General features: G+C 34.4%; 1 protein-coding gene across 8 annotated transcripts in view; it reads left to right on the top strand.

Annotated features, from left to right (window-relative positions):
• HNRNPLL (heterogeneous nuclear ribonucleoprotein L like) overlaps positions 1 to 13,858 on the top strand; it is a 40,960-nt gene that overhangs the window by 24,069 nt on the left and 3,033 nt on the right. For 3 of the 8 annotated variants that reach the window (NM_001142650.2, NM_138394.4, XM_011533166.4), the window contains 6 exons: positions 1,328 to 1,399; positions 5,433 to 5,650; positions 8,935 to 9,056; positions 9,526 to 9,727; positions 10,417 to 10,474; positions 10,563 to 10,661. In NM_001142650.2, the coding sequence (NP_001136122.1) occupies positions 1,328 to 1,399; positions 5,433 to 5,650; positions 8,935 to 9,056; positions 9,526 to 9,727; positions 10,417 to 10,474; positions 10,563 to 10,661 (771 nt within the window). Of the gene's footprint in view, positions 1 to 857; positions 941 to 1,327; positions 1,401 to 5,432; positions 5,651 to 8,934; positions 9,057 to 9,525; positions 9,728 to 10,416; positions 10,475 to 10,562; positions 10,662 to 12,659; positions 12,754 to 13,858 lie in introns of those variants that run through there. The other 5 variants (XM_005264640.4, XM_005264639.5, XM_047446341.1 and 2 more) reach the window with 4 other exon arrangements.

Raw genomic sequence — 13,858 nt, 5'->3', positions numbered from 1 at the left:
TTGAGCATTTAGAAGAGGTTTTGGCCAACGACTAAGTCTGTAAGGCCCTAAATGGGGTAGAATATGGGTAGAGGATCAATTTCTATACAATATAAAAATTCATTTTCTCACAATTTAGGGCTATCTGGAAATCTTATTATTGGTTTTGGGTAAGCAGAAGCTAAATGGTCCCAACTTACAGAGATGATGTAAAGAGAATTTTTACATTGAGTAAAAGTTAAACTAGATGGCCTCAGTCCCTTTCAATGCCACAATAACTTGGAATAGGTGATTAAAACTCTACTTCTCTAGACTGAAGTGAAAATTAAAGTATTTCTCATCTCCCATAAACCTCATTTGTTTAGGTGACTAAGGATATAGGTAAAGGCTCTCTGAATTTTCAAGGATTAGAATGACCAGAGTCTTGAGATACATATTTTTAAAAATCTTATTGGGCACTGTAATTTCATCAGCAAACTTTCTAAAAGTATTGTATAATGATTTTTAAAATTTACTAACATAGGAGGTGCTATTTTAGAAACTTATAAATAATTTTTTTGTTGATGTCTCTAATTAGATTTGGGAAAATTGGCATGCCTTTTCTGAAAACGTAGCTAGAATAAAAATTATCCTTTAGAGTATTGTAGTATTCTCATCCAATAATGTAGCCCCCTTGGTTAGCTTTATCTTGGCATCTTTAAAGTTTGGGGTTGCTCATAGTCCTACCTGGTGTTATGGTCAATAGACAATGACCTATTCATGATATAATATGAGTCAGTGATGTGAACATTTTCAGCTCTCAAGTCAGGTGTTTGTAAATATGTGCATATACTTATAAAATACTCTGTGTTTACTGATTGTGAAACCATGTAATACAGGTTGTTGTTGGCTTATGCTGAAACTTCTTGAAAGAAGCCCACTTTGAAAATGTGTTGCTGTTGAAGCTAATAGTATGATTCAGGTACTGTCTTTCAAAAGTACTGCACTTAAAGCTTGTTTTAAAGACATGTATTGGTAAAAACTTCTGTACAGTGTCAAACTTCTAGCATTGTGTACATTCACTTTCTGAAAAGTATCCATTCTTCCTTAAATTTGAAAGTGTGATTGTATTTGGCATTTGCCAAAAAGATATATTCAAGTTAAGTGGAATTTGTTAGATGGAATTAATTTTTTACACTCTTGGTGTTGTGTTTAAATTGGATATGAATGGATGTTTAAAGTTAACCAGGAATCGTATTTCTTTTATGAATTGTTGTATTGGATGTTTTGAATGGGTGTTTCCCATCTGAGAACTCCATTAAGTACTTGGGTCAAAATTGTTAAAACCATGTTTCTACTTTTGTGTCAGATAGAGGAAAGGGTCGCCAGAGACAAGCCATTTTGGGAGAACACCCTTCTTCGTTTAGACATGATGGCTATGGTAAGTTGTCAAGGTAGAAAGAAGGTAGTATAGATGAACTGTTTGACTTGCTGCATTTCTGATGAAGTATGGCACATTTCTTGTCTATTTTTCCTGCGTATCTGCCTCGGTTTATATGGGATCAGTCCCTTGTAATGTACTCCCAGGAGTTGTCCAAAATTTGTTTTCTTAGGATAATGATTTAAAAAAAATCCTTGAGATAAGTGAGAGCTACTAGTTGGGGATTGAATACTTTTTTGCCATTATATTTTGGTTTGGTTTTGATTTTTAATGGGTTCTGGCTTGTAAGAGGACCAGAAAGAAGAATTATTGTTCAGTAAGTGTATTTTCTTTCATTCCAGCAATTAGCAACAAAGAGGAATTTTGAGTAATAAAGGCAGAAAGAATAGGGTATTTGTCAAAAAGGAAACATGCTTCTGGTTAGACTCACCTTATAGTTCTGTAGCTAGTATTTTGGTTTCAGTTAAATTTGTTCATGTTTATTCCCCTTTTAAAACTTCTCAGCTTTTACTTTTTGCTATGTTGATAAGATTATGGAACCTAGAATAATAATCTGCCCCAGGAAAAAATTAGGTAACGTTAGGTATCAAACTATTGTTCTTATAAGTAGAATCTTTTAACTAGCTGTAAATTGTTTGAAAATATTCTTTAGTTTTTAGTGGTAGTTATTGACTCTACCTATTCTGTGCTTTAAAGTTGAAGCACAATACTATTAAAACTGGCAGAAAATAGAAATTGCTATATTGTAGTCTTGGGATTGGTCACCGAAAAGCACCTGGTATTGCCTATTGTCCTAAATGGTTCAAATTGCCTACATACTTACTTTAATGACCATTCTTAGCTGTGAGTTTTAGCTTACTTTCTAGTGTTTTTCTTTTGAACTGTAGTAGTGTGTTTGTGTTGTGTATGTGTGTGTGTGTGTCTTCAAGGTTCCATAGTCTATATGGCAGAAAAGATTGAAACCATCTCTGTTTTGTCAAAACAGTAAGTGTGGTATAGAATGAAAATCTCATTACAGCTGGTTTAGTGAATGTGTACCTTGATTATTTTTCTTAGTTATTCCTGTAACAGAGTAAACATTAAACATGGTTGTATGGGTAGTTCTGATCCTGCAGTAAAAAACATTGGGTGTTTTTTGCACTTTGATAATGGAGGGTTACAAAAAATTTGCCATTACAAGTTTGTAGTATAGTTGTAGAGTCATGGCAGTCAGCTGAAGGCTAAAAACTGGTTAAATATTTTGCCAAAGTGGATTAGAAAAATCTGTGAAAGAATAAATGAAGGACAAGGAACTCTGCTGTAGTAGTGTGGAAACAGATTTTTTTCTTAGTGTAAGTCTGCCTTCCTTTATAAAATATTTTACCGAAAAATAGTATAAACAAAAGCTGTTATATACCCTGCCAAAATTTTTTATTTTTAAAAAGCCTATTGTGAAATTCTTTGATAGTTGTGGTGGGATTATGTAGGGGGGTATCCATTCTGAGCTATGTCCATTAAGATATTTAATCTGAGGTTAATTTGTTCCACTTTTCTAGGGAAGTAAGCAGAATTGGGGTATAGGAGGAAAGAGAGCGAATAAAGAGGCAGAGAAGAGAAGTAAGATGAGTAATAGGGGAAAAAGCAAAGATGGGGGATGTGTGCTAGTGATATTGAGCCTTTTTACAAATATTGCAAATCACAAATGTATCCCTTCAGATCAGCGCTTCAGCAAAACAGGTTTACTTGCATTTTGGGATCACCTTATAGATGACCTTTCCTTTTCCTATGTGACGACTATAAGAAAGGGAATAGAAAGAGTTAATTATGGTTCAGGACCCATAGATTCCATCAGATTAAGTTTATTCATTGGTTTATTATAGCAGTATGAAATCTATGTGAATCATCACAATTCTTTACCTCTTTTAATTTGGGAAGCCCAGACTTAATGATATGAACTGGTAGAAGCTTTCATAGTTGAACCATGGCAGAAATTGATACATAGATTTATTTGCTGTAAGCTCAAGAAGAGTTTGTGTATTAATTTGTAGCATCTTTGGATATGGTTTGTAGACGAAAGATTTTAAAGCTTGAAAGATGAAAAATGCCTTCAAGATGTTAATATACCATTTATGTAGCATTTTTCCATGTCAGTTTTTTAAATATTTGAAGCATTAGTTTTTTAAACACCCAGACTTTCTATTATCAATTTAGTATAGAAAACTTTTAAAAGACGTCTGATTTTTCTTATCTTAAATAATATAGGTAATACTTTAAGTAGTATAGATAAGATAATTTAATAATGATGGCTCAAAGTCATAATTATAAACATCAGTTATTCTTGTGGACTGATTTTGGTTGTTACTTAGGGCAGTAGATCTCAGAGGTTTTGGACTTTAGCCACTATACATAGAGTAAAAGTTTCCACTGCCTGTCTACCATGTGTCTTTCTACTTCCATGAAAAAGAAAATTTAGTGTGATGATAGTGAAATGTCATTACTGTACAAGCAAATGGTAGGTGGCGGGGAGGCAGTATATTATGTATATGTACTTTTGCAATAGGAATAAGAATAATTGATATTTGAATCTTGGTGTGTGTATGAGAGTCTAAATTAGAGGCTAAAATAATTACTAAACAGCCTAAAAACTAATTACTAAACAGTCGCTCATATGGATTGTTTTGTTAAACTACCAATTGCCAATAAAAGGAGTAGTTGAAATCCATGACCAATTTAAGGAGACACTGATGATACATTGATAAAGTATTCCTCCCTAAAATTGCAGAAATTCACACCGTGTTTGTGTGTGCTTGGTGGTGGTGTTACTGTGTTGTTATGAATGGCAGCTGTTAGAATACCAAAAATTGGAGTCCACCATAAGCTCTAATAGTATGTTATGAATACCAAAATTTAGTAGTTCTTAGTAACTCACTTAGTAGATAGATGACAGTTGTCCCTTAGTCCTATATACAAGTGCAACTCAGTGGCATTACATACTCTTCTTGAGAAATAGAGAAAGGACTTGGGTTTTTGGATTGGTTTTGCACATCAGGGGGACCTTTGCATGTACCCTAGATGTTGCTTCTGTTATTATTAGGAGCATCTAAGATGTGTAGGGTTTCTGTTTCTAAGCTGCATGTCTCCATCTTAGTTGCTGCTTTTGAGTTCCTCTGCCTTTCTTCTTATTGCTGTAAAATGTGCCCTGTGTCTACTTTGAGTGTCAGTTTCTCCACCCTCATTTCTTTTCATTCTACACTCTAGCTTTATTTTTTGTTAGATCTGTTGTGGATGGGAAAAACAGATAAAGTTGTTTAAAGCTACTCTAAAGTTAGCAAGTTGATTCTTAATGAGGATTCTCAATGTAAGAGACATAGATTTGAGTGTGTTTTTCTGCTGAAATAGTTTTAGATACTCAGGCATTATTTCCTTCTGGGTTCTTGATACTGTTTCAAAAAAATGGAAGTTGTAGAGTAATAAGACACCTGTGTGTAGTTGAGTTATTAACTAAATCTAGGGTTTTAGTTTCCTAAATTAGAATTAGGGGAATAAGATACCAACCTGAAAGTACATAGTAAAATATATTCAAGGAAACAACTTTTCAGTGGAACTGAAGAGGTTCTTTTTGTTATATCTGTGTAGAGATAGCTTCCCAGATTTCACTGTACATGTAATATTATTACTCCTCCAAAAGACATTGGCAGGAGGTTTATTTTTTAAATTTGAGGTATAATTTATATACAGTAGCCCCAGACTTTACATTCATTTTCTTAACCCCCCATAGTCTTGTTAAACTATAATTTTTTAAAAATGTAAGCTTATAGCCTGGTGTATGCAGGTATAGGTCAATATATATTGTATCTGGTGCAAATGAATACAGATTTTATTAATTTTCCTCAGGTTATACTGAAATATTCATACATTTGAGTTTTCTTTGTACATCAAACTAGCTAATATTAAGAGTTTATTTTTTGTGTGTGGTGCAGTATATCTACTAAAGTATTTACAAACAACTATGTGTATATGTTAACTAATTTATTTATTTTGATCATTTTTATAGGATCCCATGGTCCATTATTGCCTTTACCAAGTCGTTACAGAATGGGCTCTCGAGATACACCTGAACTTGTTGCTTATCCATTACCACAGGCTTCTTCCTCTTACATGCATGGAGGAAATCCCTCTGGTTCAGTTGTAATGGTTAGTGGATTACATCAACTAAAAATGAATTGTTCAAGAGTCTTCAACCTGTTCTGCTTATATGGAAATATTGAGAAGGTAAGTTTCTCTTTATATTGGTTTCTTTTGCTAGGATATTCAGTGGTAACTCTGAAAAGGCTGCAAATATGTGTCTTCTCCTTGTATCAGGAATATCCAAATTCTTTGAGTAATGACCCACATAAGCTAAAAATCTATTATATAGGAACTCTGGAAAATGTTTTTTGTTGATAAGTAATAAGTATAGGTTGTTGATACTACAAATATTTTTAAAATAACCAATATAAAAAGAAGTCTAAATCAGTAGTAATCAACTACTATGGTATGAGAGGCCTGAAGTCTATATTTTGGTGATCTCATTTCAAAGTGATTCTAGCGTTTAACAGGTTGAAAGAGCAGTTACTTTCATGGAGGGTATATATAAAAACAAGCTTCGGAGCCTAGCCAGAAGTTGTGAATTTCAGAAGAGTTCTAGAATTTATGCACTTGCTTCCTAAATGCCAGGGTTCTATTATCTTCGGAGGAACCATGTGCATTTAGCTCAACCAGTATTTGAAACTGACCCACTTTGATAAAATGTGTCCAAAACTTCCTGTCTAGCAATATACATATTTTGAAGGTCTTTAATAATTGTAACTTTATTATCAAATAACTGTGTTTTCCCCAAATCTGCGAGGTTTTATTTATTGATACCTCACAAATGTGAGATAAATAGTTTTTGAAAGAATCATGGAAAATTTAACTAGGAAAATGAATGGTAGTCTTAAGTTACCAGTAGTTTGATAAAAACACTTGCTAATTTGAGTTTTAGTACTGTAGTAATGTGTTTTTTTCCTGTTTTAAGTGATTTTAGTGTTCTTTGCAACAGTAAGTTCTTGCAGCATGTGAGTCACTATGCGTGGGAGGGGAACATGGCTTGAAAAGTTGCTACATTTAGTTCTTAGTTCATTAATTCTAAAGCTTCTTGATCTGAGGAAGCAACCCTTCAGAATTATGAAACAAGAATTTTGTCAACCATTTGATCACAGTAAAAAACAAAACAAAACAAAACAAAACATTCCACATTTGGTCTGGGAGATAACATATGGGATACCTATACTTGTGTAACTGGGCAAGAATACATGGGATAGGTTTAGTAGCATTGGGAGAAGTATTATTTTCACACAGACACTATCTTAGGCCCAAGTGTTAAGTGGAGGGAATGCATGTTTGATAATTAAATGGGCTTTAATGTATATTTTAACTTTCTTTATAGAGTATTTTCTTTTTGTGTTTTTCACATATGCAGACAATCAGAATCAGGCAATTTAATCAACATCTTTAGTAGATCTATGTCTTTTGTGTTGTGAACTAATTGTCTCATATGATTTAGAAACTCAAATTACTTTTTCTAATAAAACTTAGATTTTTTGTATGTTATTTGACTAATTCTAGTCCCTTTCACTCTACATCTTGCAAGTTTTTAAAACATTTTAAATGATAAGCTATGATACGTTGAACTCAGACTATCATAATCCTTTAAAGATCCATATATAGTTAATTTTTTCTAACTTTCTTTTGGAGATTTACCAATACAAGAACCACATATTTAATGTGTATATTTAGTCACTATTAGATTTGCAGATAGTCATTGGATTAAATCAAGGGAGAGGAATTTTGTCCATGAGAAGACAAGAGATTTCAAATAAAGCTGAAAAATCCTGTTACGACTGAGTTTTGTTCAAGTACAGGTGTAGTATATCCTATTAAAGTGGGTAGTTGAAGTGATGGAAATAGAAGCCATGTTGCATTTGTTGTGTAAATACATTCTCAGTATTCTTTAGACGTCAATAGATAAGAAGGAAATACTACGTTGAAGGTGTCATCTATGTCATTGGTACAGGAGTCCTCCCTTATCCACAGTTTTGCTTTCAGTTACTCACTGTTAACTGCTCCAACAATAGGTGACTACAGTAAAATAAGATATTGTGAGAGAGAGAGCATGTTCACGTAATTTTTATTATAGTAGATCATTTATAATTTTTCTATTTTATTATTTTGTTAGTCTATTACTGTGCCTAATTTATAAACTTTATCATAGGTATGTATGTACAGGAAAAAGCATAGTCTATATATGCTATGCTTATATATAGTATATACTATGTTTAATCTCTGTCTGTCTCTGTCTCTCTATCTATCTAATTATCTTTCAGTACTGTCTACAGTTTTTTTGTGTGTTTGCTTTTGAGACAAGGTCTTGTTCTATCGCCGAGGCTGGAATACAGTGGCACCGTCATAGATTACTTCAGCCTCTAGCTCTTGGGCACAAGCAGTCCTGCCTCAGCCTCCTGAGTAGCTGGGACTACAGGTGCATGCCACCATGCCCAGCTGGTTTTGTATTTTTTTTTTTTGTAGAGATGGGGTCTCAGCTATGTTGCCCAGCCTGGTCTCAAGCTCCTAGGCTCAAACAAGCATCCCACCTTGGCCTCTCAAAAGTGCTGGGATTACAAGTGTGAGCCACTGCACCAGGGATTGTCTGCAGTTTCAGGCATCCATTGGGGTTCTTGGAATGTATCCCTCAAAGATAAGGGGGAACTACTGTACTTAATAGCCACTTAGGGATTTCCCAAGGGCTAAGCATTAGGCTGAATGATATCATACTTCATACCTTCTAACCCTTACAGCATTACATTCTAAAACTGGAAATAGTACAAGAGGGTAAGTATGGCCTCTGCCCAAACTGTCCTGAAATAACGTGTATCCCCCTATGTTGCACAAGCCTTCCTGTGACCATGCTATCTCAAGGCTATTTTGTATTATTTCTTATATAGCATCTTGTTTACTGCATTAACAGAATTCTACATAGTTTGTACTTACTATTTGTTTACTTTTAAATTTCTGACTTAACTACTAGAATATAAGGTTCAAGAAGATAATGTCTGTTAACATTCACTATTAAATCCCCAGTACCTACCACAGTGCTTATCAAAACATATTAGACACTTAATAAATATTTGTTGAAAGAGTAAATATTAACGAGTCCTGCCAGATGGTATTATCTGTATTTTCAGCGACAATCCATGGCTCAGAGAAGTTAAGTATATTGCCCTCAAATCACACAATTAATACATAACAGAGTTAGGGTGAGCCTGTGCTGTTCTTCAGTGGGCTATACAATAGTGTTCCTTTTTAACTATTGAACTTTGATAAGAGTTAAGGGTATCTCATAACATGGCAGAGTATAGTTAAAATCCAGGTGATCTTCCGTATTTTACTTTAACCACTTAGGTCGTATTGTGTTTTAAAATTTCTTTTACTGTAAAAGGGAATTAAATGGTCACCTTTTTGGAATTTTGTGTTTACAGGTAAAATTTATGAAGACCATTCCTGGTACAGCACTGGTAGAAATGGGTGATGAGTATGCTGTAGAAAGAGCTGTCACACACCTTAATAATGTCAAATTATTTGGGAAAAGACTTAATGTTTGGTAATTATCTATCTTAAATGATAAATTTTAAAAAATATTTAAAAATCTTTGTCCTTTTTATTAGAGACATTAATGTCAACTTGAGAATATTTTAATGTAACTGAGGGCACATCTGAAACAACAGCTGTAATATTGTTATTTTAGACAAGAGTTAGGGTCGTATCACTCAGATTTTGCTTAGCGATACCTGCTTTTTAGTTTTATGATGATAAAACGTGTTAAAATGGGCACGTTTTTATGTTAAAGTTTTCTAATATGAGAATATATTTAATAGATTTTCTTTCTAATTGATGTCTAAACTACAAGAGTGATTGATTATAACCCAAACTAAATCCTCTATTTAAATAGCTCTATGTATGCCTTTTTTTGGTTAAGATTTATGCAAGCAAAATATATTAGCATTCTGAGACTACTTGCTGCTTTTTATCTAACAAAGTACTTTTGTATGTCTTTTCTTTACAATCTTTAGCGTGTCTAAACAACATTCAGTTGTTCCAAGTCAAATATTTGAGCTGGAGGATGGTACCAGCAGCTACAAAGATTTTGCAATGAGCAAAAATAATCGCTTTACAAGTGCTGGCCAAGCATCTAAGAATATAATCCAGCCACCCTCCTGTGTTTTGCATTATTATAATGTTCCATTGTGTGTCACAGAAGAGACCTTCACAAAGGTAGGCACTGAAATACAAATGTGTATAGAATGTTGCTATTTCCTATTTTAAAATCTGTTTTAGCTTCATTTTGAAGTCGTTTTGCTCATTCTTTTGCTTTTGATGTTATTACTATTTTATTTACTTGGTACTGGATAGTTTATTCTTTGACCATTGTACTTTTCTGGCCTCCATTCCTCATTGGGCTTCGTTGATTTGTGGCTCAATCCTTTTGAGAGTTGGAATTAGAATGAGGTCATCTTAATCCTGCATTCAGAAAGTTATTTAAAGACATATCGTGTCTTTAAATCTCACCCATAACAAAATTTTCTCTATCCATATTGTTTCCCCTAACTTAGAAAATGCTAAGTAGGAACTGTAAGAAATGCTTCAGATAAGAAATGATTTTGTGGAACTCTACTCCCTACCTTAAGTACTAGATAAATCCTGGTCAACTCTGAGAATATATATTTTAGTTAACAAATCTGTGGTTTTATTGTACAGCACTAAGTTACTTAATATAGTTTATAGAATTTTACTGTTTTTAATTGATTTTTTCATACAGCTTGATATTAATGTAGAAAACATACTTGATTTAATCCATTCATTTGAGAATTAAAACTTAAATTCTGCCATAAAGTTTACTTTCTGTAAAAAAGTGGGATATTATTTTGGCTATATTTTTAATGAAGTTTTACTTTCTTTGACAGTTGTGTAATGACCATGAAGTTCTTACATTCATCAAATATAAAGTGTTTGATGCAAAACGTAAGTGAACAGTCCCTCTTTTAAAGCTTTCTGGTTAAGTTGGTGATAAGCAAGTAATAATAACTGAGTTTGTGTTTTTTTGTTTTAGCTTCAGCCAAAACACTTTCTGGGCTATTAGAATGGGAGTGCAAAACTGATGCAGTAGAAGCCCTTACGGCACTGAATCACTATCAGATAAGAGTGCCGAGTAAGTAAAATGCTTTATTTGTGTTGTAATTATGTAGTGGCAGTTACCATCACAGAAACATTCATGGTAATATAAAAATAACACTTAATAGGCTTCTTAAAAAATACAGATAAATACAAAAAAGAAAGGCATATTAATTCCTGTATTAGTTATCTATTGCTGTATAACAAATTGCCATAAAATTTAGCATCTTAAAACAGCAAACATTTATTATCTTACTGTTTCTGAGGGTTAGTATTTTGGGTGCATTTCAGCTGGGCAATTCGGGCTTAGGATCTCCCATGAAGTTGCAGTCAAACTGTTGTTTAAGTCTGCAGTAATCTCAGGGCTTGACTGAAGCCAGAAGATCCACCCCCAGGCGCACTCATATGGTTGTGTGTAGGCTCAATCAAGCCACATTGGCCTTTTGATGGTAGCTGACTTCTCTCTGAGTGATCCAAGAGATAAATCAACAATGTTTTTTATAACCTAACATTGGAAGTGGCATACCATCACTTAATGTTATAATTTTTTTGGTCACAGAGACCAAACAGTACAGTGAGTGTAGGAGGGGACTATACAGGGTGGGAGTACCAGGAGGTTGGAATCACCTTCAAGCTATAGCTTCCACAATCCCTGCTGATCATTTTAGAGGAAAGCAATACATGCATATGTTTAGAAAACTCAGACAGTACATAAAGGTACAAAATGAAAAGTTAAAGCTTTCTACAACCTCCAACCTTTTGTCTTGTTCTTTTTTTCTTCCCTAGTGTGTATATATAATTACATATATTTTTAAAACTTGGCTAGGCACTGTGACTCACGCCTGTAATCCCAGCACTTTGGGAGACTGAGGCGGGTGGATCGTCTGAGGTCAGGAGTTCGAGACCAGCTTGGCCAATGTGGCGAAACCCTGTCTCTACTAAAAATAAAAAAATAATAAAAAAAAATTAACCTGGCGTGGTGGCACACACTTGTAGTTTCAGCTACTTGGGAGGCTGAGGCAGGAGAATTGCTTGAACCTGGGAGGTGAGGTTGCAGTGAGACGAGATCACGCCATTGCCCTCCAGCCTGGGCAACAGAGCAAGACTCCGTCTCAAAAAAATAAAATAAAAAAACAAAATGATTCTTCTGTACATACTTTCCTGTGTCTTGCTGTTTTCACTTACTATATCTTGGAGCTATTTCTATATTGCCACATTCAAAGCTTTTTAAAGCATTTTCAGGATAGCTATTTATAGTCAAGATGTATCACAGTTTTGTCTTATTTACCCGTCCCCCCACTGATGAACAGTCTGGTTGCTTCTGTTTGTTTTTTTCTGTTATTGTAATAAACATCCTTATAGTTGCACTTTTTTATTTTTAAATTTTTTTTTATTTTTAATTTTTTTTTTTTTTAATAGAGACAAGGTCTCACTGTGTTGCCCAGGCTGGTCTTGAACTCCTGAGCTCAAGTGATCCTCCTGCCTCAGCCTCCCAAAGTGCTAGGATTACAGACGTGAGCAACCACGACTGGTCAATAGTTGCACTTTCTAATGTGTGTTTGTAGGACAGTTTTTCAGTAGTGTAGGGCATGAAGGTTTATAGTTAGGTAAAATGTTGCTAGATTGTACTTTATAAAGGTTGCACCAGTTTACGTTACCAACCGTGATATATGAAAATATTCATTGCTCAGCACTCTTAGCAACACTGAGTGTTGTCAGATATTCAATTTTTACCAGTATGATAGATGAAAAATGGTATTTGGTTGTTTTAATTTGTGTCAAGTCAAGTGAAATTGTTAACCTGTTTGTTTGTCTCCATAATAGTAACAATGGCCTTTTTGGTTTTTTTTTTTTTGGTTTTTTTTTTTTGAGACGAGTCTTGCTCTGTCCCCCAGACTGTAGAGTAGTGGCACGATCTTGGCTCACTGCAACCTCCACCTCCCAGGTTCAAGCGATTCTCCTGCCTCAGCTTCCCAAGTAGCTGGGATTATAGGCACCCACCACCACACCCAGCTAATTTTTGTATTTTTGTTAGAGACGGGGTTTCACCACGTTGGCCAGGCTGGTCTCGAACTCCTGGACCTCATGATCTGCCCACCTCCGCCTTCCGAAGTGCTGGGATTACAGGCGTGAGAAAACTCAAGTTTAATTTTTGAAACTTTTTGCTGTGTAATTTACTTTGATCCTGGATCTCCAGGGTATTTAAATAATAGGGGAACATTATTGGGTGTGGTGATGAATGATGGTTTAAAAAAGAGAAAAAAAAACAATGAATGATTTATGGCTGGAATAACATCTGAAATTTGCTTTAAAATATTCTAGCTTTCAAAACTGTGTGTGAAGGGTAGGTAGATAAAGTAAGACTGACAAATATTGACAATTATTGAAGCTGGGTGATAGGTATGTGGGGATTCATTAAACCTATCTACATTTTTGTGTATGTTTGAAAATTCCTAAATAAAAAGTTAAGTAAGAAACACCTTTTTTTTTTTTTTTTTTTTTTTTTTTGAGACAGGGTCTTGCTCATCTCCTAGCCTGGAATGCAGTGGTGCAATCACAGCCCACTGCAGCCTCGACTTTCCTGAGCTCAAGTGATCCTCCCACCTCAGCCTCCCAAATAGCTGGGGCTATAGGAGTGCAACACCACATCCAGCTTATTGGTGTATATTTGTTTATTTTTAAATTTTTTTTACATGGAGGGATCCTGCTGTGTTGCCCAGGCTGGTGGTCTTGAACTCCTGGCCTCAAGCAGTCCTCTGGCCTCAGCCTCCCAAGTTGCTGGGATTGTAGGCACAAGCCACAGTGTCGGCTTTCTTCTCATTTTACTTTTAGTTAAAAGAAAAAAAAGGAAATTTTATTAAGTAGTCAGGCTTAATTTTTGAGAGAAAGTTTTAAAAAGCTTTAAAGTTATATGAAATACCTTAGAGACAGTATATAGATTATAAACTGTTTGGAGATAGGGACAGTTATGTATGTTTTTATCCTCTGCAGTGTCTTGTACACACTTGTTGATGCATATGCTTTTCCTTACAGGAATTTTTTTTCTTTAATGAACTACAGCTTTTAATACTAAAATTGTGATACATTAAGATAGCAAAACTGGTTCTTTGCTTTGATTTCTTATATATGTAGTTGAGGAAGAGCTGTTTCTGCCTGGTCTGAAAAATTAAAGGAAAGAAAAATTTACAAAATGGAAATATTTTTGTGAAGTATACCCAGTTGGTTTGTTTTTTT

This window comes from Homo sapiens, chromosome 2, assembly GCF_000001405.40.
Source record: "Homo sapiens chromosome 2, GRCh38.p14 Primary Assembly".
Taxonomy (NCBI): domain Eukaryota; kingdom Metazoa; phylum Chordata; class Mammalia; order Primates; family Hominidae; genus Homo; species Homo sapiens.
This window is presented reverse-complemented; position numbering and strand designations above follow the sequence as displayed.